Source organism: Homo sapiens, chromosome 1, assembly GCF_000001405.40.
Source record: "Homo sapiens chromosome 1, GRCh38.p14 Primary Assembly".
NCBI classification, from domain to species: Eukaryota; Metazoa; Chordata; class Mammalia; order Primates; family Hominidae; genus Homo; species Homo sapiens.
In genome coordinates this window covers 11761379-11785669 of record NC_000001.11, presented here as the reverse complement: position 1 = coordinate 11785669, position 24291 = coordinate 11761379, and the positions used below count along the sequence as shown (strand labels likewise).

The following is a 24291-nucleotide window of genomic DNA, read 5'->3' as shown; positions in this document are numbered from 1 at the left end:
TGCATTTCAATGTCTCCCTAACAGGCTGTGACCCAACATGCTGGTCTTTGCGGCCGGACCTGCAGTGGCCTGGCACTCGAGAGGTGCCAGGTTCATCTTTGCTGATGGATTCAGAGTTGCTTGTCAGAGGCTGACTGAGAACTGGGGAGAGGTGGTGCATACGAGGTTGCTGGGCCCCTGGGGAGGCATCCAGCCATGCTGCCACCACCGGCTGAATCAAGCTGATTCTAAGGCCGGTGGTCCGAGGGTCATTTTTGGACCTCCCGCCCTGCCTAGGCTCCCTTCACCTGTTTCCAAGGGGCTGGGGCGTCCAGCAGCAGGCTCCCCCTGCTGGCCATCCGGGGCCAGAGCGTGAGGTCAGTCTGGGGCTTGGGGCGTACCTTGCCGGCCCCTGGCAGTCCCAGCCGCACCCTGAGCTGCACTGTCCGCAGGAAGCGCCTGAGCTCAGCCGGCCGGAGCTGGGTGAGGATGGCTCGCTGGACACCGCCGCGCACCGCCGACTGCACCGAGGCCTCTAGGACCCTGCGGGAGAGGAAGGAGTCTGCAGCCAGGGCCATAAAGGCCAGGACTCTCTGCAGGGAGCCCCCCCAGTGCCCTGCGGGAGGGGGCCTTCCGGGCCCAGCCCCAGGCTGGGGCCCACCCACCTCCCACACTCCCTTTTCTGGAGGGAGAATCTGGGTAAACAGGATGGAGAGCGACCTGGAAGGAGAAAATCACAGACGGGGACAAGCATCCTGTTTAGGGGCAGAGAGGGGACAGTCCTGCCAGTGCCACTTTGCCTCCCCTTCCCTGGCAAGAGCGCGTTTATGGCGCTTGCTGAGTGGCTGGCTGTGCTGGTGACTGCAAGGCATGACCATTAGAGACTTCCCCAAGGAGGGGACACACAGCAAGAGGCGGTGTCAGGATGTGGCCCAGGACTAGATGGCCAGGGCGGCCTCTCCCTGTCACCCCCAACCACCCTCTTGAGCCTTTGCCCTGCCACCCAGCCATGAATTACGCTCTACCCCTGCCAAAAACAGGCTTGAGGCCTGAGCTGGAAGCACAGAGTGGGGCTGCACTTAGACCACAGCACTCACCAGGCTCGCGGCTTCCAGGAAGCATGGGCTCGGCTGACCTGGCCCCGACAGGACTCATGCACCCACAGAGCCCAGCACCAAGTCCAGCACTGGGCTGCCTGGGCCCCAGCGCTCTCTCCTGCCTGCTGCTGGGCCTCATGGTGCATGCCCGGGGCCACTGGCCATGCTGGGAAGGCCTGTGGGGCCCGGGCCTTCTTCTGCTGCCCATCTTCCTGGCCTTGCTGCCCGCAGCTTCTCCAGCGGGCAAGGGAGGCCTGGGCCACACGCTGCTCCTGTGCCCCGGCTGCCACTTCCTGGGCTTCCCGCCATGTGGCAAACACGGCCCCCAGTGCTCTTCTCCTCAGGCCATCCTGAAAGGCTTGATGCTGGGCCCGGAGCACCCCCGTGTCTCTTACAACCTCACACCAGGCCTGGAAGTAGCTGCAAAACAGACACATTGGGCCAGGTGTGGTGGCTCATGCTTGTAATCCCAGCACTTTGGGAAGCCAAGGTGAGTGGATCACCTGAAGTCAGTTTGAGACCAGCCTGACCAACGTGGTGAAACCCCGTCTCTATTAAAAATACAAAAATTAGCCAGGCCTGGTAGTGGGCACCTGTAATCCCAGCTACTTGGGAGTCTGAGGCAGAAGAATTGCCTGAACCCAGGAGGCAGAGGTTGCAGTAAGCCGAGATCGCGCAAGTGCACTCCAGCCTGGGTGACAAGAGTGAAACTCCATCTCAAAAAAACAAAATGAAACAAAACAAAAACAGATGCATGGGAGGGCTTGTCTCGTTCTCAGAGTCAAAAGTCACATTTATTCAAAGTTACACCTGCAAATCTCCCACAAAACAGTAAACGACCAGTAACAGGTGAAAGCACTGGCTTTCCATCTTGCAACCTCAGCCTCAGAGGGCAGGGGCTGCCCTGCGAGGGGGATGGGAACCAGCAGTATGGGTTCAAGTCCCACATCAGCCATGCCCTGCCTCCCATCACATGCCCAGGTGGTTGGTGAGGGAGAGGAACACCATCTCTCACTCAGTGAGAAGCCAAGAAAAAAAACCATCTACGGCCAGGCACAGTGGCTCACACCTGTAATCCCAGCATTTTGGGAGGCAGAGGCGGGCGGATCACCTGAGGTCGGGAGTTCGAGACCAGCCTGACCAACATGGAGAAACCCCGTCTCTACTAAAAATACAAAATTAGCCAGGTGTGGTGCCACATGCCTGTAATCCCAGCTACTCGGGAGGCTGAGGCAGGAGAATCACTTGAACCCGGGAGGCGGAGGTTGTGGTAAGCCGAGATCGCGCCATTGCACTCCAACCTGGGCAACAAGAGCGAAACTCTGTCTCAAAAAACAAACAAACAAACAAAATAACCATCTACACCCTCAGATGCAAAAGCACAGACGTCAGCCATTCTGTAGCCAACAGTTCACTGCCCCACGGGGACACTGAACATTCGCAAATTTGTACTGAACTGTGGGAGGAGCCATTCTGTGTCCTCTGCTTGGTTTTACAATATGCATTCATGAACTGTATACATGTTCCACCAGAACATCTTTACTTAAATGAAGATTTCACTCTCTTCTCTTAGCGACAGTGTACAGCAGAATTCTCCTTGCTGTAACTCCTCACAATGGGCGTTATGGTAGATTTCCGAGGAGTGGATTTCTCCTCCTTTTTTTTTTTTTTTTTTGAGATGGAGTCTCGCACTGTCGCCCAGGCTGGAGTGCAGTGGTGCAATCTCGGCTCACTGCAACCTCCGCCTCCCGGATTCAAGTGATTCTCCTGCCTGAGCCCAAGTAGCTGGGACTACAGGCACCTGCCACCATGCCCGTCTAATTTTTCATATTTTTAGTAGAGATGGGGTTTCACCATGTTGGCCAGGCTGGTCTCGAACTCCTGATCTCAAGTGATCCACCTTCCTCGGCCTCCCAAAGTGCTGGGATTATAGGTATGATCCACTGTTCCCAGCTGATTTCTCCCATCTTAATCATATCCTCTAAAACCAAAGAACTGACCTGGCCAGGAGCTGGACTCCCGGGGCTTGTTGGGGCCACAGGTTAGGGGTGGGGTTTGCCACCACTCCCAAAATAGGTAATAAGGTGTCAGTGGTCATGGCCCTGTGTTTCCAGGCTAGGATCTCCCTTCATGCCCCTTTTTTCCCAGGCCACAGGCCTCCTATCTGGGCCACCGTCTGAGCTTCCCACCCCCTGGGTGCTCTCCTTGCTATTCCTTGCGTGGGGAGGACCAACACCCTCCCACCCCCAGGCCCACCCACCTCTGCAGTAGCAGCTGCTCTGGCCGGGTCACTGTGCATCTCTGATGAGCTGCTGCCTGCTGCCAGCTCCGGAACACCACCTTCTGCAGGCCCTGGAGGTGGACCTGCACCCATGTCTGGCACTTTTCATGCAGGAACTGCTGCCCTGGGGCCAGAGAGATGCTGAAGAGCCACTGGGTGCTCACCCCAGCCTCTCCCCATGGGCCTCTACGCAGCCAGCCCTTCGCCCCCTACCAGGTGGGAACAGAGGAGGCCACCCTGACTGTCTGGGTTAAAAAGCCTCTATTATGGGTGTCCTGCTGGTGACCAGGCCAGCCCAGCTCATAGAGTTGTTGGGTTTGTTTTTGTTTGTTAATTTTGCCACAGTATTTTCAAATCTGGAGAATTCAGGTAAAAATCTAATTTTCTATTTTTTTTTTTTTTTGAGACGGAGTCTTACTCCGTCACCCAGGCTGGAGTGCAGTGGCCCAATCTCAGCTCACTGCAACCTCTGCCTCCTGGATTCATGCCATTCTCCTGCCTCAGCCTCCCGAGTAGCTGGGACTACAGGCGCACACTACCACGCCTGGCTAATTTTGTGTATTTTTAGTAGAGACGGGGTTTCACCATGTTAGCCAAGATGGTCTCGATCTCCTGACCTCGTGATCCGCCAGTCCGGGCCTCCCAAATTGCTGGGATTACAGGCGTGAGCCACTGCGCCCGGCCCAAAAATCTAATTTTCAATTTTTCTGTAAAAACTAGAAGTTCTGGAAACACTGGCTCAGTGTTCCTGCCGGGGAATGATTGGGCTGCATAAGCAGCTGTCTCCAGCGGACAGGACATGACTTTCTAGAACCACCACAGCCCTGCCTGCCAGCTCATTAATGCGATATGTCGGTGTAGTGGGCAGCCTCCAAGACAGCATCCTGTGTTCGTGTCCTGGGCAATGCCCCGCCTTGAATACAGGCTGGGTTTACTAATTTGCTTTTAACAGACAGAATTTGGCAGAAGCAATGGGATGTCACTTCTGATATCAGGTTATAAAGAGACTGGTTGGGGCCGGGTGCGGTGGCTCACGCTTGTAATCCCAGCACTTTGGAAGGCCGAGGCGGGTTGATCACTTGAGGTCAGGAGTTCGAGACCAGCCTGGCCAACATGGTGAAACCCCATCTCCACTAAAAATACAAAAATTAGCCAGGTGTGGTGGCAGGCGCCTGTAATCCCAGCTACGAGGGGAGCTGAGGCAGGAGAATTGCTTGAACCCAGGGGGTGGAGGTTGCAGTGAGCCAAGATCGCACCACTGCATGCCTGGGCAACACAGCGAGATCGTCTCAAAAAAAAAAAAAAAAAAAAAAGACTGGTTGGGCCATGCAACAGCTCTTTTTGCCCAGAGGCCAAGACCCAGAGAGCAAGCCTGCCTTGGGACCATCCCTCCTCCCTTCACTGGCCACATTCCTCAGGGCTTCTAACACACTGCACCCTCAGCCAGCCTCTGCAAATCCAGTCCTTCCCACTGCCCTATTTTGCTGACCCCTTCCCACGCCTCAACCTCTCTCGCCACTGCTCTGCCCGCTGAGCCCTCCTCACCTCCTCCTGGGACCCTCCCTGACTAACTCTGCTGGCCCCTAAGGGCACCATGACTCTGCCCACTTCTCTCCCAACTCAGGGCTCCGACCAGTGACTCCTAGAGGCCAGGTGAGGATAAGGATGAAGATAAAGGTGATGACATAGGGACTACATTATCCCCATTTTACAGATGTGTAAGCTGAGACTCAGGGAGGTTAACTAGGTTGTTTAAGTTTCACACAGTCAGGGTATGGAAGAGCAGGGATTCAAACTCAAGACTACAGAGTCCAAGCCCCCAGGTTCTGCTCTGCCACCTGACTCCTGGGTGTGCCCTGTGGGGGTCTCATCACCAGAATTTGCTACGGGATGGGAGGGTATGGGGGGTGGTGAGGCACTCTGCAGAGTCACTGTCCCTCTTGGAAATTTCACAGCTGAGGTCTATTCATTTGCTCATTCATAGCACAATGTGTAAGAGTTGGTCAGCCTGTTTTCTTTGAACCCAGCTAGGTCAGTGTCACAGCTCAGCGGACCTCTCTGATCAACTGCATTTGTTAGCTATGGCTGTGTAACAAATTACCCAAGTACTTATTAGTTTTAAACCACAGATGTTTGTTATCTCACAGTTTCTATGGGTCAGGAGTCCAGATGTAGCTTAGCCTCTGCCTCAAGTTCTCCCATGCGGTTACAGTCAAGTTGTTGGCCAGGGCTGCAGTCTGGGTCTCAGACAGACCCTGGCCCTGCCCTCACCCGCAGTGCCCCCGACCAAGTCTCCACTCACCCTGCCAACAGGAGTGCCAGTGGCATAGGGCATCTCGTGCCAGCCGCCAGCCCCGCTCCTGGGCCCACCACTCCACCAGCCGTGACTGCAGCAGCCGCTGACGCCACAGGCCCAGCACAGCCCTGCAGGTCCGATCCCAGGCCCGGTGGGAAGCCAGCTCTCTCCAGGCCCATTGGGCTGTTGCCCAGCGGCTCCAGCTGAGGAAGATGCTGGGAAAGGGAGGGTCCACCCTGAGGATGGCCACTGTCCCCCAAATCCCAGGCCAGCCCTGCCCCACCCTCCTTTCTCTTCCTCTCCCCAGCAGCAGGAGGCTCTGGGTGACTCTTCTGTTTCCATTATGGGAGGGTGGGTTGCTGGGGACTGGAGGGGCCAAGCACCTCTCCCAGGGTCACGATGATGAGTGGTGGGGATAGGGTGGGATTCTAGACCCCCACTGCCAAGTCCTGTGCTCAACCACTAGCCATAAACATTGCTATGGACTGAGCACTCACAACGTGCCACACACGGCATTGGGGAATGTATGTGCCGTGCCTCGCCATTGCCCCACTGGAGCCAGTACTATTAACCCCATTTTACAGATAGGCAAATAGGGCACAGAGAAGTTATGCAACTTGCCCAAGATCACACAGCCAATGAGGGGCAAAGCTGGGATTAGAACCCAGGGAGACCAACTCTTATGCATTGTGCTATAAATGAATAAATGAAGGAACCTCAGCTGCAAAATCTCCAAGAGGAACAGTGACTCTGTAGAGTGCCTCACCACTCCCCGACACCCTCTCAGTAGGACGGGGCAGGAAGACAGGAGGAACTGAAGCCCCCTGAGGTGCAGACCCCAAGGGGCTGCTGCTGTGAAGGCCAAGGGTGGAAGGGAGAAGGGGCCGGGAAACAGTAAGTCCATAGAGTGGCGGGCGGATGGGGAGGGATCCCTACCGCCTCTGGCGGGTATGCTGGTACCACCTGGCTGTGCCCTGGAACTGCTGGGCCCGTGCCTGCCAGAGCAGAAGGCACTGCCCCTGCTGCCGCTGCCCAGCTGCCCACAGAAGGCTCCCCTGGAGAGTGTCCGGGAGGGTGGGGGCCCTGGGAACCTGGGGAAGGAGATGTGGAGTCCTTGGTCCCCTACCCTGTCCCCTTCCCACAATCTCCACCCATCCACCCCTACCTGCCCCAGCCCCTCCCCACCCTCCTACCTCTCACCTTCTCCAGAGAGTCTTGGAGTGTGCTGCTGCTCAGTGGCTCCAGAGCCGAGGGGGTCTTGGTGCAGCTTGATGTGGCATCTGGGCCCAGTGCCCTCAAGTGCCACCATCTCAGGCTGCGCTGCAGCATCCGCTGCTGCAGGCCCTGGAAGAAGGAGCTAGAGAAGGGGCAGGTGAGTGACCCACCCAGCCTCACCCTCAGGCTGTGCAGGGTGGCCAAGCAGGGGCTACCCTACCCTGGCCGCTGTGAAAGAGATGGGCTGAAAGGGTGCTCGCCACAGGCCAGACGCTGGGCTAGCGTTCCACGCTGCTGCCCCCCACAGCGGCTGCATGCTGGAATCACTGGGGGCTTCAAGAGGTACCGATGCCCACCAGGGTCCCACCCTAGATTCTGCTAGATTCTGACTTAATGGTCAGGGTACAGTCTGGGCTTCCAGACTTTTTCTGGGGTTCTCTGAGTGACCTCAGTGAGCAGCTGAGACTGGGCTGACTGGGCTGATGCTTTTTTTTTTTTTTTTTTTTTTTTGAGACAGGGTCTGGCTCTGTGACCCAGGCTGGAGTGCAGTGGGACAATCTTAGCTCACTGCAACCTCTGCCTCCTGGGTTCAAGTGATTCTCCCGCCTCAGCCTCCCGAGCAGCTGGGATTACAGGTGCGTGCCACCACGTCTGGCTAACCGAGCTAGTGCTCCACCTGCTTCACTGGCTGGCCTCATCATGCTCCCGGGGTGGCTGGGAGCCCAAGCAGCTGATCAGAGGTGGAGCTGGTCCCCAGGCTCAGGGATCCCAGACTCCAGAGGCCACCCCTACAACCACACCAGTACTTCTGCCTGCACTCACTTATAAAGATAAGAAAGCTGAGCCCAGGGGAAGATCATTTCCCCAAACTCCAAATAGCAGCAGACCTGGGACTCATCTAGGCCCAGGAGGGTGCCCCGGGAGAGCTGCCAGGAGATATGAACTGTGCCCTGAAGTCCAAAGGCCAGAGGATGGGCTGGAGAGGGAGGGCCTGGGGGTTGTGGGGCAGGCATGTGAGCAGTGCCCCCACATTCTGAAAGGTCACGGTGAATTGAATTCCCCTGAAGTTGCAGGGGTACACTGAAAGAGGCTGAGGGTCCATGTGGACCATGTGGGTGTGTGGCTTTCAAGGACAGAATTCCTTTTTTTTTTTTTTGAGATGGATTCTCGCTCTGTTGTCCAGGGTGCAGTGGCATGATCTTGGCTCACTGCAACCTCTGCCTCCTAGGTTCAAGCCATTCTTCTGCCTCAGCCTCTCAAGTAGCTGGGATTACAGGCGAGCACCACCACGCCTGGCTAACTTTTGTATTTTTAATAGAGATGGGGTTTCGCCATGTTGACCAGGCTGGTCTCAAACTCCTGACCTCAGGTGATCCACTGGCCTCGGCCTCTTAAAGTGCTGGGATTACAGGTGTGAGCCACCACGCCCAGCCAAGGACAGAATTCTTAACCCTGCAACTGCTCGCTTCCATTCCTCCTGACATCCCCTCCGGGAAGCTGGCTTCTCCTGATCGCCACCCTCCCCTCACCTACAGCCTTCTTCTGGGCTCCGAATTCCATCAGTGACCATCTTGTGTGGGGGCAGCACCCAGGTCTCAACACAGGACCTTCTTGCTCCTGACTCCCACTGGGATTTACAGCAAGCTGCTCCAGCCCTCTGAGCCTCAGTTTCTCTAGTTGTGTAATGAGGCCAATGGGAGAGGAGATAAAAGCTTGATCCCTGGCTCCTGCCCTTGTTCCTTTACAGTATTTATTCTGTGCCTGCAACATGCCAGGCACCTGCAGGGAGCTGGGAGCCAGCGGTGACGGCGAGACAGACATGGTTCCTGCCACCAGGGACTTACACTTGGCAGGGAGACGGGCATTCACTAGGGTTCCGGCCACCCCTGTAGAGCTCCATGTCTGTGTCTCTGGCAGCCCCCTGGCCCCCAGTGGCCCTCTGCTCAATCACTGTTCCAGTGTCCCTAGGCCACCTCCCAGGGCCTGACATTGGCTGGGCACCGCAGTGTGCCAGGCCCTGTGCAGGGCCACGGGGAGGAGTGGGATGCAGTTACTGCCCTATGGGATATTCCTCCCGCATTCCTCCTGGTGCTGAGCACTGCTCACGTGCCCACCCCACAGCCCCCAGGCCCAACCCCAGGTCACAAGCTCGAGGACACCTACTTGGCCCACTGGCGCTGGAAAAGCCGCATCTTCCACAGCAGCAGCGCCCAGCAGAGGGCCAGTGTCCAGCAGGCATCCTGCAGGGAGCCCCGGCCTTGCTCCTGCTGCCCCTGGGCCTGGCCCACTGCACCCAGGCCACAGGCTCCAGGGCCTGCGGTGTAGACAGCCTCACGTCCTGAGAAACCGTCAAGAGTCCAGTCAGCTGCCTCCCCACTGACCTCACTCTGCCCACAGCCATTGATAGCTGCTGCCTCAGGCCCCTCTTGGGAGCTCTCCCCTCTTGTCCCGTCCCACCGCTTCCAAGCCCTCCCCTCCAGGTCACCTCAAAGATCCCATCTTCCCCAGTTAAGTGTTTTTTTGTTTTTTGTTTTTTGTTTCTTTGAGACAGAATTTTGCCCTTGTCGCCCAGGCTGGAATGCAATGGCACGATCTCAGCTCACTGCAACCTCAGCCTCCTGGGTTCAAGCGATCCTTGTGCCTCAGCCTCCCGAGTAGCTGGAATTACAGGCATGCGCCACCACACCCGGCTAAGTTTTGTATTTTTAGTAGACACAGGGTTTCACCACGTTGGCCAGGCTGGTCTGGAACTCCTGACCTCAGGTGATCCACTCTCCTCGGCCTCCCAAAGTGTGGGATTACAGGCGTGAGCCACTACACCGGGCCCCCAGTTAAGTTTTGGGGTGGGGATTAGGGCTGTGTGTCCCCCATCACACCAGGAGCTTCCCAAGAGCAGGGCCCACATCCCTTCTGGGCAGGATCTAGGATACCAGCACTGAGAAAGCCTGCAGTGGGAGGAGCAGAACCAAGTCTGTCACCCACAGCAGCTCATAATGGGACATAGGGATGTGGCTCAGCTGGGGCCTGCCCACTCTGGGACCCCTCCTGCACCCTCCCAGGCCTACAGGCTGCCCTCCTAGAAAGCCCCAGTTCTATCACCTCCCACAAGAATTCACATATTCAACTGGGGACCACTGAAGAAGGGGCTTAAGTGACACGGTTTGCTGGGGCGGAAGCCAACACTAGCTCACCTGCTTTCTGCCGGCAGAGGGACAGCTGGGTCACCTTTGCCCCATCTGATTCCCGGAGCTGCTTCATCCGCACCCACTGTTCCAGGCATTTCCTCAGGGTCCCCGTCCGGCGGTCAGCCAGGTGGTCTCGGTACCGGGACCCTCTTTGCACGAACTGCTGCCACGCCCCGAAGCACCTGGGAGAACAGAGGGAAAGTACCCATGTCAATTGCAAGATCTGATGACTGCGGCTCCAGCTGCCTGCCATTGCCAGACACACTACCCAGGCCTTGGGCAAGCCACTTCATCTCTCTGAGCCTCCGTGTTTTGTTGTTGTTGTTTGTAGACGGAGTTTCACTCTTTTGCCCAGGCTGGAGTGCAATGGTGCGATCTCTGGTCACTGCAACCTCCACCTCCTAGGTTCAAGAGATTCTCCTGCATCAGCCTCCCAAGTAGCTGGGACTACAAGCATGCACCACCATGCCCGGCTAATTTTTTTTTGTATTTTTAGTAGAGATGGGGTTTCTCCATGTTGGCCAGGCTGGTCTTGAACTCCTGACCTCAAGTGATCCGGCCGTCTTGGCCTCCCAAAGTGCTGGAATTACAGGCTTGAGCCACCGCGTCTGGCCAAGCCTCCGTTTTCTCATCTGTAAAATGGGGCTGCTTTGAAGATGCATTGCATGTCACCTGCTCAGGCCATGACACTATCACCTCTGGCAGCGTGGTGGCCTCAGCAGCCTCTGACCTGGCCTCCCTGCATCCACTTTCGGCCTCCTCCAGTCATTTCCTATTCAGTAACCCAGTGGTGTTTTTCCAATCTCAAATCAAATCATCAGAGTCACCTGCTAATCCTCCAGCGGTAGCCTCCTTGCTCTACCATCAAATTTCAGCCCCTCCCCACAGCCAACCAGGTGCTGATCTGGTCCCCACAGATTTTTCCAATCTCATCTTCAACTACCCTCAGCCCCCCTACCCTGTACTAACAAGGGTCCAATTCGGCTCTGCTACGCCTCAGGATCTTACACTCCCGGCCAGAGGCCTCTGAACACTCTACCCTTTTCTGATCTTCCTCCACCAGGCAACTCTTCATCCTTCACATCACCACTGAACCTTGGTCTAGGTCAGCTTCCTGCACTAAAAATTCTCACAGAAAACTACACCAGGGGGATGTAGTCAGCAAAATGCAGACAGTGGGAAACTAGCAGGCAAGCAAGTTGATTTCTTCAACAAATAACGTGCAATCAAAAAAATGAAGGGGAGCCTATAGTTTACAAAGATTTTAACAGGCCGGGCGTGGTGGCTCACACCTGTAATCCCAGCACTCAGGGAAGCCGAGGTGGGAGGATTGCTTGAGCCCAGGCTGGAGTGCAGTGGTGCGATCATGGCTCACCAGTGGGACTCTGTCTCTACCAAAATTTTTTAAAATTCGCCAGGCATGGTAGCTCACACCTGTAATCTCAGCACTTTGGGAGGTCAAGGTGGGCGAATTGCTTGAGTCCAGGAGTTCGAGGCCAGCCTGAGCAACGTGGCAAAAAATTAAATCTCTACAAAAAATTTAAAAATTAGCCAGGTGTGGTGGTATGCACCTATAGTCCCAGCTACTTGGAGGCAGAGGTGAGAGGATCCCTTGAGCCTAGGAATTTGAGGCTACAGTGAGACATGATTGCACCACTGCACTCCAGCCTGGGTGACACAGTAAGACCCTGTCTCTATTTTTTTTTAATTAAAAATAAAAAGACTTGAATGACTTATCAACCAACTGCCATACATGGACCTCATTGCAAACTCTAATACAATATATACTTGCAAATGTGAATACTGGCCAGATATTCGTGAGTATTAAGGAACAGTTGTTTCATTATTTTTTAGTTGTGAGAGTGGTATTGTGGTTATGTTTTTATTATTTATTTATTTACTTATTTCTGAGATGGAGTCTCACTCTGTCGCCTAGGCTGGAGTGCAGTGGCACGATCTCGGCTCACTGCAACCTCTGCCTCCCGGGTTCAAGCAATTCTCATGCCTCAGCTTCCCGAGTAGCTGGGATTACAGGTGTTCACCATCATACTCGACAAATTTTTGTATTTTTAGTAGAGATGGGGTTTCACCATGTTGTCCAGGCTGGTCTCAAACTCCTGACCTCAAGTGATCCACCTGCCTCGGCCTCCCAAAGTGCTGGGATTACAGGCATGAGCCACCGCGCCCGGCCAGTGGTTATGTTTCTAAAGAGTCCTTATCTTTTAGAGAGGCATATAAAAATATTTATGGATGAAATGGTATAATGCATGGGATTTGCCTCAAAATAATTTGGAGCGGGGGATGTATTTGGAGTACACATGAAACAAGCTTCAAGAGAGGCTGATTTTGTTGAAGCTGGGTAATTGGTGCGCTGGGGTTTATTATCCTATCTGCTCTACTTTTGAGTAAGAAAAATGCCCCACAGGCCGGGTGCGGTGGCTCATGCCTGTAATCCCAGCACTTTGGGAGGCCGAGGTGGGTGGATCACCTGAGGTCAGGACCAGCCTGACCAATATGGTGAAACCCTGACTCTGCTAAAAATACAAAAAAAATTAGCCGGGCGTGGTGGCATGTGCCTGTAGTCCCAGGTACTTGGGAGGTGAGGCAGGAGAATCGCTTGAGCCCAGGAGGTGGAGGTTGCAGTGAGCCGAGATCGTGCCACTGCACTCTAGCCTGGGTGACAGAGCGAGACTCCGTCTCAAATAATAATAATAATAATAATGCCCCATAATAAAAAGTTAACCACCAGGGAGCAAAAAAAGAAACTCATAGATCTGTGTTCCTTCTCTTCACAACACTTAAGCCAGGTGGTATTCACATACACCCTTGGGACTGCTAGTTTCCTGTCTGTTCCCCCACCAGCCATGGGTTCCACTGTGATGATGGGCAGAGGTGGGAGGCCGGGACTAAGCTTTGCTTATATCCAAATCCCAGCCAGTGGGGCGGGCTAGCATGTTCTAGGCATGCTCAGTCGATGGCTGCTTTCATTTCCTATTTGCATCCTTGCCTCTCAATACTAGGAGTCAAGAGCTGACTTAAAGGGAAGTGGGGGCCAGGCATGCTGGCTCACGCCTGTAATCCCAGCACTTCTGGAGGCCAAGGTGGGCAGATCACTTGAGTTCAGGAGTTCGAGACCAGCCTGGGCAACATGGTGGAACCCTGTCTCTATCAAAAATACAAAAAAATTAGCTGTGCGTGGTGGCACATGCTTATGGTCCCAGCTACTCGAGAGGCTGAGGTGGGAGGATTGCTTGAGCCAGGGAGGTGGAGGGTGCAGTGAGCAAGATGGTGCCACTGTACTTCAGCCTAGGTGACAGAGTGAGACCTCATCTCAAAAAAAAGGGAAGGGCATCCTACCTGCACAGCCAAGCTCTCTGGTGCTGGGGGCTCAGTGGGGCCACCCAGGCTACACCTGCAGCAGTAGAGTGCCAGGCCTGGGGGAAGCTCCCTGTCCTCTGTGTGGCCCTGGTGGCCTTCCGCAGAGTCTCCCTCTCCTGTCTGGCCCGTTTCTTCTGTTGGCACCACAGGAAGAACACTAAGGAGAGAGGGAGGAGGGAGAGAAAAGAGAGAGTAAGCAGATGGGAGGATCTGAGCCAGGAGGGGCCCCTGACATGTGGGGTGCCTGTCGCAGGGCACCCCCCATCTCTGAGTAAGTGAAGTCTAGCTCCAATACTCCAGCCTCTGGTGTGGGCCTGCATCAGTGTATCAGCCCAGAAATGCAGGCCGTGCTCCTCTCATGCTGTGTGTCCTCAAACAAGTCACTTAACTTATCTGTGCCTCAGTTCCCCATCCGTAAAATGGGCACAGTTCCTCTTGGGGGTCACTGTGAGGCTCAAATGAGATTGTCTCTGGGAATGTGCCAAAGCAGATGCAAAATAAACATTCATTCGCCCAGGGTCCCCCGCCCCTGCCCAGTGTGGAGCTCAGGCCCTGCGTGGCCAGGCTCCATCTCCCCGCTTTCCCAGCACCCCACGTCTCACCAGCCAGTTGCAGGGCCTGCAGGATCTGGACTCTCTCGTGTCTGCTGTCTGTTCTCTGCCTAGGATGTGACAGAAGCCGCTGAGCAATCTCCTCCTCCCTCAGACTTCCTGGACTAAAAGCAAAGTTGCCCAGAGAGAAGCTGATGACCCGGGAGGAAGGGCACTCGGTCCCAACCTGTCCGCCCCACCCCAGGCAGGTGCGGTCTGCCCTTGGGAGCAGGGGGCGCTGAGTCCCCCTACCCTCTTCTGGACAGTTTATTTTATGTCGGATTTAAAAGCTATTGCTGGGGGGAGGTTCTGCTCTTGATTTATTCTCTTTAATACTATTTGGATTTTTTTAAACAACAAACATGTATTAAAATAAATATCATTTAAATAATTATTTAAATACATTTGTTCAATTTAAAAATAAGAACATGGCCAGGCATGGTGGCTCACACCTGTAATCCGAGGACTTTAGGAGGCTGAGACGGGCAGATCACTTGAAGCCAGGAGTTTGAGACCAGCCTGGCCGACATAGTGAAACTCCGTCTCTACTACAAAAAAAAAAAAAAAAAAAAAAAAAAATATATATATATATATATATACACACACACACACACACATACACACACACGCTGCCAGAGGTGATATATACACACACACACACACACACACACACACAAATTAGCCAGTGTGGTGGCACACACTTGTAGTCCCAGCTACTCGGGAGGCTGAGGCATGAGAATTGCTTGAGCCTGGGAAGCACAGGTGGCAGTGAGCAGAGATCACACTACTGTACTCCAGCCTGGGTGACAGAGCAAGGCTCTGTTTAAAAAAAAAAAAATACCCAACTGTAGTAGAAAATTGGGGAAATAAAGAAAAAAATAACCAGAGGCCGGGCGCAGTGGCTCACGTCTATAATCCCAGCACTGTGGTAGGTTGAGGCAGGCAGATACCTTGAGGCCAGGAGTTTGAGACCAGCCTGACCAACATGGCGAAACCCCATCTCTACTAAAAATACAAAAATACAAAAAAAAAAAAAAATCAGCCAGGCGTGGTGGTGTGTGCCTATAATCCCAGCTACTTGGGAGCCTGAGGCGGGAGAATCGCTTGAACCCAGGAGGCGGAGGTTGCAGTGAGCCAGATTGTTCCACACACTCCAGCCTGGGCAACAGAGCGATACTCTGACTCGAAAAAAAAAAAAAGAAAAATATAACCGACTTTAATCCCACTGTCCCAGAGATAAGCATAGTTTCCATTTTAGCATTTTTAAATGAAATATCTTTTACTCCTTAATTGTGGTAAAATACACATCAGAAAGTTTACCATTGTAACCATTTTTAAGTGTACAGTTCAGCAGTGTTAGGGATTTTCACATTGCACATTTTCAGGTTTTTTTTTTTCTTTCTGGTCCTTTTTCTATGCACCATGTGGTTTCTATGCAACTATGTGGTTGGGAAAAATATTTTGGATACATTTTTATGCTCCTTTAAGAAAAATTTAACATTGCCACACCATTTTCCCTTTTTTTTAAAAAATGCTATGCAAATATTCATAAAAATACTTCCAGGGAGGGGGCTATGAAAGGATGAAGCTTTCAAGTTAATTAATAGACTTCCAACTATTTGGAATATTTTTCAAATTGAGCATGCATTACTGCTATGATTGGAAACATAACCAGTAAAAAATCTTCCTGGCCAGGCGTGGTGGCTGGCTCATGCCTGTAATCCCAGCTCTTTGGGAGGCCGAGGCAGGTGGATCACTTGAGGTCCTGGCTAATACGGTGAAACCCCGTCTCTACTAAAAATACAAAAAATTAGCCGGGCATGGTGGTGGGCGCCTGTAGTCCCAGCTACTCGGGAGGCTGAGGCAGGAGAATGGCGTGAACCTGGGAGGCGGAGCTTGCAGTGAGCTGAGATTGTGCCACTGCACTCCAGCCTGGGCGACAGAGCGAGACTCCATCTCAAAAAAAAAAAAAAACTTCCTAAACATCATATTGGATGGTTGCTAATTGTTCATCACATGGTCAAACCATCATTTCCTCACTCACTGTTGAGCATTTAGGCTGCTTTTCAGCTTGTTTTTTTGAGACAGGGTCTTGACCTGTTGCCCAGGCTGGAGTGCAGTGGCATGATCATAGCTCACTGCAGCCTTGATTTCCTGGCCTCAAGTGATCCTCCTGCCTCAGTCTCTAGAGTAGCTGGGACTACAAGCATGCCCCCATGCCTGGCTAAATGTTTACATTTTTTTGCTAGAGACGGGGTCTCGCTATGTTGCCCAGGTTGGTGTCTAACTCCTGGCCGAGGCCTCCCAAAGTGTTGGGATTATAGGTGTGAGCCACCGTGCCTGGCTGTTTTGAAGTTTTTACAATTATAAATGATGCCATGATGGACATCTTTTTTGCATAAATCTTTGCCCACATCTGCTTATTTCATTCCCATTCTTTTGTGGGGATGAGGAAGTAGTGGGGGCAAGGCAGGAAGTTGGGGAAGAAAGGCCACCGGCTTCCCAGGCAACACTGACCAACCTGGTGTGTTCCAGCCTGCTTCTCTGGGCGGGGTCCACCACTGTGCTTCTTCCCAAGGAGAGGCCTTTGCCCTGGGCTCTCCTGGAGGGCGGGGACCCTGGCCCAGCCTGCATGTGGGGCTGTACTTGTTTCTGCTGTAAAGCCAGGTTTCTCCACTGGCTCAAGAGAGAAGGGGAAAGGAGATGTTGGCCTTGAATCTGCCTCCCAAGGGAACACCAGGCAGGGGCGGGGACAGGAGTAACACATGCCTATCAGATTCCACAGCCTGTGGTCTTAACCATTACTCTGCCTATTCATTCCTTCTTTGGGAATGAAGGAATGAATGAATGAACAAATATAGAGCGATGCATCCCAAGAGGCAACGCTTTCCTTAAAAGATGAAAGCTGCGACTGGACCCTCTCAGAGCACCCCTTTCCCAAGGAGGGAAGGACACAGATGCTCCCTCCCAGCCCTGGCTGGCAAACCTCTAATAAAAAATAGCAACCACTTATCTACTAGCTTGCTATATGCTAGGCAGAGTTCTGAGTCCCTTATTAATTTAATCTCACAACGACCCTGAGAGAGGTATGTTCTATTATCATCATCATCCCATTTTAGAGATAAAGAGACTGGGGCACAGAGAGGTTAGGTAACTTGCCCAAGGTCACGCAGCTAGAAAGTGGTAGAGGGGGCAGGATTTGAACTCAGGCAGAGCTGATTCAGGTGTGTGGACTCACAACTACACCCTTTACTGCTGATCATTCATGAGGTGCCACCTATGCCCAGTGGGTGTCCTCTCCGTAGACTGAGTCTCCTCCCCAGACACACCACTGCTTCACACGGCCCCCTGGCCCAACCTGGAGACCGCTGACCTCTCGGAAGCTCCGGACCAGCAGAACCTTTGTGTACTGCCCCCATGCTGCCTCCAGCTGAGCCTCCCGGAGCCACAAGGCCTGAAGGCACTTTCGCAACAGCTGCCAGCGGCCCAGTGCCACTGCCGCCGCCGCTGGCTCCCGCTGCCTCTTCACCAAGTGCCTCCAGGATCGAAAACATCTGGACAACAGCTGCCAGCTGGGGACAGACCAGGGCTGATCAGGGTGTGGACTGCCCTCCTATCCCCAGGGACAGCCCAGTGGCTGGATACCCTCTGAGATGCCTTTCCAGCAATCAGTAGGGTGATGACCCACGCCACAACAGGAGTATCACACTGCAGACTGGAAGAACTTCCCTCTTACTGATGGCTGGACTTGGAAACCCCACACAAGCAAGGCCCTGGGGGTGGGAGAATGCCCTCTTTATTTCTTTTATATATATATAATTTTGAGACAGAGTCTTGCTCTGTCACCCAGGCTGGAGTGCAGTGGCATGATAACGGTTCACTGCAGCCTCGACCTCCTGGGCTCAAGTGATCCTCCCACCTCAGCCTCCTGCGTAGCTGAGACTACAGACATGCACCACCCCACCCGGCTGATTTTTGTAATTTTTTTTGTAGAGACGGGGTTTTGCCATGTTGCTCAGGCTGGTCTTGAACCCCTGAGCTCAAGCAATCTGCCTGCCTCAGTCTCCCGAAGTGTTGAGATTACAGGCATGAGCCACCGCATCCAGCCAGAGATTGCCCTGTTTGCCGAAAACCCAGGGTGGCCTTGGAAGTTCAGGACACTCAGTGTCCCAAACCCATGAGCATCAGTCCCTTCGTTCTTGTCCCTGGGGCCCTGGAGGCTCCCTTCATCCCCCAGCAGGGACAGGTAGTAAGTTCCTCTTCCTTGAAACCCTGCCTCCTCTCCATCAGGCCCTCATCTCCATTTGGACAGGCAAATGGGAGCGGAGTCCTGAGCACGTGTCCCCCAACTCCAACCCCTGTCCCCACCCAGCCATGGCCTCACCAGATTGCCTCAGACTCTGGGGCTGTGATGTTTTGTGCCTTGTTCTGGGAAAGCAAGAGTACATAACACAGTTCTCAGGCCAAGCAGCAGGCAGGACAGGGCACCCCCTGCCAAGCCTCCCTGCCCTGGAGCAACACCTCCTACCCCCTACCCCACCTCCAGCCTCCCCGGGCCTCTACCTTCGACGCACTGCTCGCTGGGACTGTGTCTGACAGATGGAAAGCTGTCCTCTCCTCCTCCCTGTGGACCCGCTCCCTCGGGGCCCCCTCCTCTCCTTTCTGCTTGGGTGAGACTCCCCAGGCTGTGTTGGAGAAGGCTGAGGAACAGGGGTCGGTCCCCCTGCTTCCCACCCCTCGAGGGAGACTGGGGTCACCCCTCTGTGCCCTGCCATCTTGAGACCAGGGGGAGCAGCTGTCCCCTGACCCTAGGGGGTGGGCAGGAGGGAGCCCCTGCTCAGGATTAAGGGAATCCTTGGTCCGTGTCCCCAAAGTGGTCTCAGGTGACATTAGCTTGCTTTGTGCCCAAGAGTCTGAGAGACTAGCCGGGGTCTCCAAGAAAGCCGCAGTTTCCCTGTGGCCTCGAAGGCGTCTCCTCCTCCCATCCGAGGAAGCAAGGACAGGCTGGCTGGGCTGGGGGTGGGCGGAGAATGGCTGGCCGCCGCCGGTCCAGAGGTCCTGCTGCACAGCACCGGGGGGTTCCTGGGGAGCCTGGCACCTGAGTCGGGCTGCCTCCTGCGCCAGGCAATGTACAGAAGCCAGCAGCTGGTGGACGGCAGCACGGGATGGGGCCTGAGTCTGGTTCTGACTGGGGACAGCCAGGTCCTCCAGGGTGAGAGGTTCCCCCACCAGCCTGGACCTCCAGCTCCCCAGACCACCCCAGGATCTGAGGCCTGGCTGTGTATGCCCATCGAGAGGGGCAAAGGCTTCAGTGGGCCTGAAGTCCCCGCTAGGGGTGCCTGGGGCCGGCAGCCCGGACTGCCTCAGGCAGGAAGATGGGCGAGCCAGTGGCTCTTGGGATAGGAGAGGACCCCAGGGAAGCTTGTGGGGCCCAGAGCTTCCCCCAGGCTCTGGGCAGAGGTGGGGGCTGCTGGTCTCGTTGATGCTCAGGTTGCTCTGCTGGATGGCAAACTCTCGGGCCTTCCCTTGGCGCCTCCTGGCCAGGGACTGCAGGTTGCTCTGTTGCCAGAAGCTTGAATTGACCAGTTGGCCAGTCGTGTCCTTCAGAGCTAGGCCCAGGCGGGGACCAGGGCTGGCCAGGTTGGTCTGGACTCGGCAGGGCTCCTGGTCTAGCACTGCCCCTGGGGAGGGTGTGGCAGCAGGCCCTCCCCTCTCCACCTGGCACCCGGGCACCCACTGGTCATGTCTACCACTCAGGCCGATGCCCAGGCTCCTCCGGAATCTTCGTTGCTCTAAAGAGAGGAGAGACAGTCATGACTTGGGTGGCTGGCACTCAGGTGGGACAGGCGAAGCTCTCCAGGCCTCGGAGCCAGGGAGGGGACAGGGCCCCAGCAGCGGGAGGGAGCTAAGACTTCCAGGGTCTTCTGCCAGCTCTGTCTCCCTGGGTGAAGCCATGGGCAGCCCCGGGGGCTCTTGGAGTAGGGGGGTCTTGGAGCTGGACAGAGGGAAGCAGAGAGATATTTAGGAGGCTGTTGAGGGGGTCCCAGGAGAGAGATGACGGTGGTGGGATCGGGGTAGCAGGTGGGTAAAGAGAAGATTCAGATAAACTTCAGAGATGGAGCCAGCGGGCTTGGAAGAGTCAGGTAATAAAGGGAAAAAAAAAGAAAAGAATCAAGGGGGACTCCTTGATTTCTGGCTTGAGCAAAGAGGTGGTGGGGGCAGTGGGCTGGGGTGAAAGCAGGACCCCATAGAGCCACGGCTAAAGGTAAGCTGCTCTGGGAACATGGAGAGGGGCCTTGGAGCTCCTCCCCAGCCCCCAAGCCCACTCCACAGGCACAGAGTCCTTGTGGGGATGGATGAGGTACCGGGAGGCTCTGGGCGCAGGGCCTGGCAGGTAGAGTGGGCCATAAAAGTTACTGCCTTTGTGGATGGGAACTAAAGCTCAGAGAGGTCAAGCAACTTGCCTCATGGTCACACAGCTGGAACACGAAGAAACTGGGATGTGAATTCAAGAATCTACATTTGTTCTTGGGCTGCTCCCCTTCTTGGCTGGCCCAGCTCTGTGGCTTTCTTTTTTTTTTTTTTTTTTTTTTTTGAGACAGAGTCTTGCTCTGTGGCTCAGGCTAGAGCACAGTGGTGCCATCTCGGCTCACTACAACCTCCGCCTCCTGGGTACAAGTGATTCTCCTGCTGCAGCCTCCCGAGTAGCTGGGATTACAGGCACCCGCCATCATGCCTGGCTAATTTTTGTATTTTTGTAGAGACGCAGTTTCACCACATTGGCCAGGCTGGTCTTGAACTCTTGACCACAGGTGATCCACCCACCTTGGCCTCTCAAAGTTCTGGGATTACAAGCGTGAGCCACCACGCCCGGCCCTCTGTGGCTTTCTTAAAGCCTCAGCAGCCTGAGAAGGGATGTCCCCAGGACCGAGCTGTGGGGGCCCCATCTTAGCCAGGGGCACCAGCCAGGCCTCTTCCTGACCTCACTCTCCCAAGACCCCCCTCCTTAGGCCCCAGGCTGGGAAGACTCTGTCCTATGTCCAGCCGACCGTGGGTGGCTGATCTCTGGAATTAGCCAGGCCCTATAGGCTGGCCTGCCTGGGAGGGGGGCTCTGGGCCAATACCTAGAGAGGGCCCTGCTCCTGTAACTGCCCATCCAGGCCCACTAAGCCTCTTGCCTGGCTTCGGGAGCGCTGCAGGCTTTGGGGACACATTCTCCTTGTGGCTGGCATCAGACCTTAGCTCCATGGGCTCAGGGACAGGAGTATCCTTGGTCCACTCCACAGTGAGTGGCCTGGTCTGTTTAATCAGATGGGCCCTGCGGGGAGAGGACAGGTTGCCCTGGCTCTCATTCAACCCCACCCCATTCTGATCCCTACCTCCTCCCTTTAGCAGTACTCCTAGCTGCTCTTGGCCTGGTCCCAGCTGCCTGGGGCCTGCCCCTCACTGTTCTGGTCTCTCAGTGGCTCCTCTCCCTGCCCTACTTATCACCCCCCTTTCCATATTAAGTGTCCAGGTCAAATGCTGCCCCATCCTGCCCCCCAGACCTCTCGGCTGATCTGCATACAGGTCTGAACATGCAGGTCCAGCGACCTCCTCCACGCCTACCCGGATGTCTAACAGGCATCTCAGCATTAATATGTCCAAAACTGAACTCCAGCCGTCCTCGCAACCAGCTCTCTCCCATCTTGGTGCCCCCCTTTTCCACGGATGGCAGCTCCGGCCTTCTGGTGGCTCAAACAAAAATCCTGGAGCCACCCCGATTCCCCTTCTCCCTCACACCAGTGGCTGCTCTGACAGGCTCTGCCTCCCACACGCATCCAGGATCTGACCCCTGGAGCACTGGGCGGAGTGGCCCTCACCTGCCACCTCCCAACTGGTCACCCTTATTCTGCCTCGTCCTCACGCCCGACAGCCTCCTCTTCATGCGGCGGCAGGGTGATCCTGTAAACACTGAAATCAAATCATGCCCTGCCTCAACTCTAATGCCACAGAAGCTCTCCAGCCCCCTCAATGCCCCGTGAGCCTTCAAGGCTGTAGGCCAGAGGTTAGCAAATTACTGCCTGGGCCAGTGGTCTATTATGTGAATAAAGTTATATTGAAACAAAGCCCATTTGTTTACAGACTGTCTGCTTTCCAGCTGCAATAGCAGAGCTCAATAGCTGCAAGATACCTTAGGCTGCAAAACCTTTTTTTTTTTTTTTTTGAGCCGGAGTCTCACTTTGCCACCCAGGCTGGTACAATGGCGTGATCCCGGCTCACTGCAACCTCCGCCTGCCTCCCTGGGCTCAAGGGATCCTCCCACCTCAGCCTCTAACAAGCTGGAACCACAGGCACATGCCACCACGCCAGACTAATTTTTCTATTTTTTGGTAGAGACAGGGTTTCACCATGATGGCCAGGATGGTCTCGAACTCCTGACCTCAGGTGATTGGCCCGCCTCGGCCTCCCAAAGTGCTGGGATTACAGGCGTGAGCCACCACACCCAGCCCCGCAAAGTCTTTAAAATCTGGCTGCCAGTTATGGTCCTCCCCAATTCCTCTTCCCCTTGCCCACTGTCCTCCACACACACCAGCCCCCTGGCTGCTCCTCCAAATGGCACACACGACCTCACCTCAGCGCCTCTGTGCTGCTGTCCCCTCTGCCTTCAAGTCTTGCCTCCCACATCACAGTGAGCCCTCCCTGCCCACTGTCTCTCCAACTGCAGCAACCTGGCCTCTCCTCACTCTCTTTGCCCTGCACTTGCGGCCACCTAACATAGTGAAGAAATTAGTGTATTTCTCCCTCCAGTGGCCTAGGAGCCACACGAGGGCAGGCTGGTTTTTTTTGTTTGTTTGTTTCCCTGCTGGATTTGCAGCCCATAGAACAATGCCTGACCCCCAGCAGGGGCTTGTAAATGCACATTGAATAAATGACAACCGTGCTAGGCACCTTGCAGCCTTCAGCAGGCGTCCTGCCATTTAATCTGCACTGCAGCCCTGGGACTTAGGTTCCCTGTTTTAGAAATGAGGACAGGAGCTTAGAAGGGCCTGTCCCACCCAAGGCCTCAGAGGGAGCACCCCAGGGCTGGCTCCACAGCGCAGACTCCTAACCAAGAACACCCCACCATCCCCTCTTGCCCAAGTTGACTTGAGGCCGCTCAATCCACAGGAGACCTTCCTGCACCCCTGCCCCTCACGCCGGAGCTCTTCGGTCCATTTCTCCGCTCCTCGTCCGTCTCCCTCAGACTCCCCCCTCCCACTCCACCCCCACCCCTGTCCACTTAAGGGGGCTCACAGCCTCCCTCCTCTTGCCACCAAAAGAGTCTGAGGTCAGTTTCCTGCCCTCATGGATCTGCCCTCACGTGCGTGGGTCCTCCTCGGGTCCTCCTTCACCCAGTCGGATTTGAATCTAGACGGGGGCTGGGACCGCTAACGATCCCCGCAGGTCGGCAGGTCGCGGGCGGGAGGGGACGTCGGAGAGCAGAGCGTGCTGCCCCGCGCTTGGCCCCGCCCAGCCCTGAGCCGTGGGCGTGGCCACCGACGTCCTGGTACAGGTTTTGCCGGGTCCTCCGCAGGCAAGGCACGTGGTCCCAGGGCAACTTTTGCACGTGCAAGATGAGCGACATTCTCTTGGCCATCAGGTCCCCGGGAACCTCCTCCACCCTCTGCCCCGAATCCTGTGGCAGCATCACTGGGGTCTGGGCTTCCTCCACCAGGCGTGCCTCCTCTTGGCTCCTTCCCGCACCTAGAGCTGCCTCCTGGAGCCCCCGCACATCTGGGATACCCCCAGCCATGTCCCCACCACCTATGCCTCTTGGGGCTGCAGGACATGCCCCCGGCTCCCACTGGTAGGAACCCCAGGGGCAGGACATCCGGGTCATGGACACTCACATCCTCACCCGTTCCCAATAGGTGCGATGTCCCATCCAGGGATGTCTCAGATGCAGCTGGCAAACCATGGCCCTCATGGCTGAGGACACACCCGTGATGGGACCCCAGGATCTGGGGGGCAGCCACCACCCTGATCACCACCTGGAATGCCTCATCCTGGACCTCCTCCAATGAGCATGTCCCCCAAGGGGTCTCGGTCTGGATCTCCCATGGGTCACTCACGTCCTATGCCTCCATGGTATGTGTGGACCTCCTCCACCGATGCTGCCTCATGGATACACTGGCCCTCCCCAACACCCACCCTATGGCTTCCGGGGGGGACTCTCCCTCCACCCAGACCCACTCCGGGGCCTCCAGTTCCCCCTCAAGGCCCACTTTGGGGCCCTCTCCCTCAGTAA

General features: G+C 55.3%; 1 protein-coding gene, 1 long non-coding RNA gene and 1 pseudogene across 16 annotated transcripts in view; 2 read left to right on the top strand and 1 right to left on the bottom strand.

Moving 5' to 3' along the window:
* The window catches only part of C1orf167 (chromosome 1 open reading frame 167), a 27393-nt gene extending 3916 nt beyond the window's left edge, over positions 1–23477 (bottom strand). For 5 of the 15 annotated variants that reach the window (XM_024446506.2, XM_011541272.4, XM_011541278.3 and 2 more), the window contains exons 1-17: positions 23365–23477; positions 21884–21974; positions 21200–21339; positions 18585–19813; positions 18406–18449; positions 17395–17593; positions 16543–16697; positions 14034–14146; positions 13411–13588; positions 10060–10235; positions 9032–9206; positions 6854–7010; positions 6590–6744; positions 5660–5868; positions 3337–3481; positions 1077–1496; positions 381–522 (exon numbers count right to left, since the gene is read on the bottom strand). In XM_024446506.2, the coding sequence (XP_024302274.1) occupies positions 381–522; positions 1077–1496; positions 3337–3481; positions 5660–5868; positions 6590–6744; positions 6854–7010; positions 9032–9206; positions 10060–10235; positions 13411–13588; positions 14034–14146; positions 16543–16697; positions 17395–17593; positions 18406–18449; positions 18585–19813; positions 21200–21339; positions 21884–21948 (3702 nt within the window). In that variant the 5' untranslated portion in view covers positions 21949–21974; positions 23365–23477. Of the gene's footprint in view, positions 1–380; positions 523–1076; positions 1497–3336; positions 3482–5659; positions 5869–6589; positions 6745–6853; positions 7011–9031; positions 9207–10059; positions 10236–13410; positions 13589–14033; positions 14147–16542; positions 16702–17259; positions 17323–17394; positions 17594–18405; positions 18450–18584; positions 19814–21199; positions 21340–21629; positions 21856–21883; positions 21975–22635; positions 22774–22952; positions 23221–23297; positions 23321–23364 lie in introns of those variants that run through there. The other 10 variants (XM_024446514.2, NM_001010881.2, XM_024446507.2 and 7 more) reach the window with 9 other exon arrangements.
* Positions 6051–8593, top strand: C1orf167-AS1 (C1orf167 antisense RNA 1). Its single transcript, NR_126000.1, has 3 exons — positions 6051–6547; positions 6863–7025; positions 7386–8593. It is a non-coding gene; the product is annotated as a C1orf167 antisense RNA 1 (long non-coding RNA).
* LOC101060126 (atrophin-1-like) lies at positions 23349–24291 on the top strand (annotated as a pseudogene).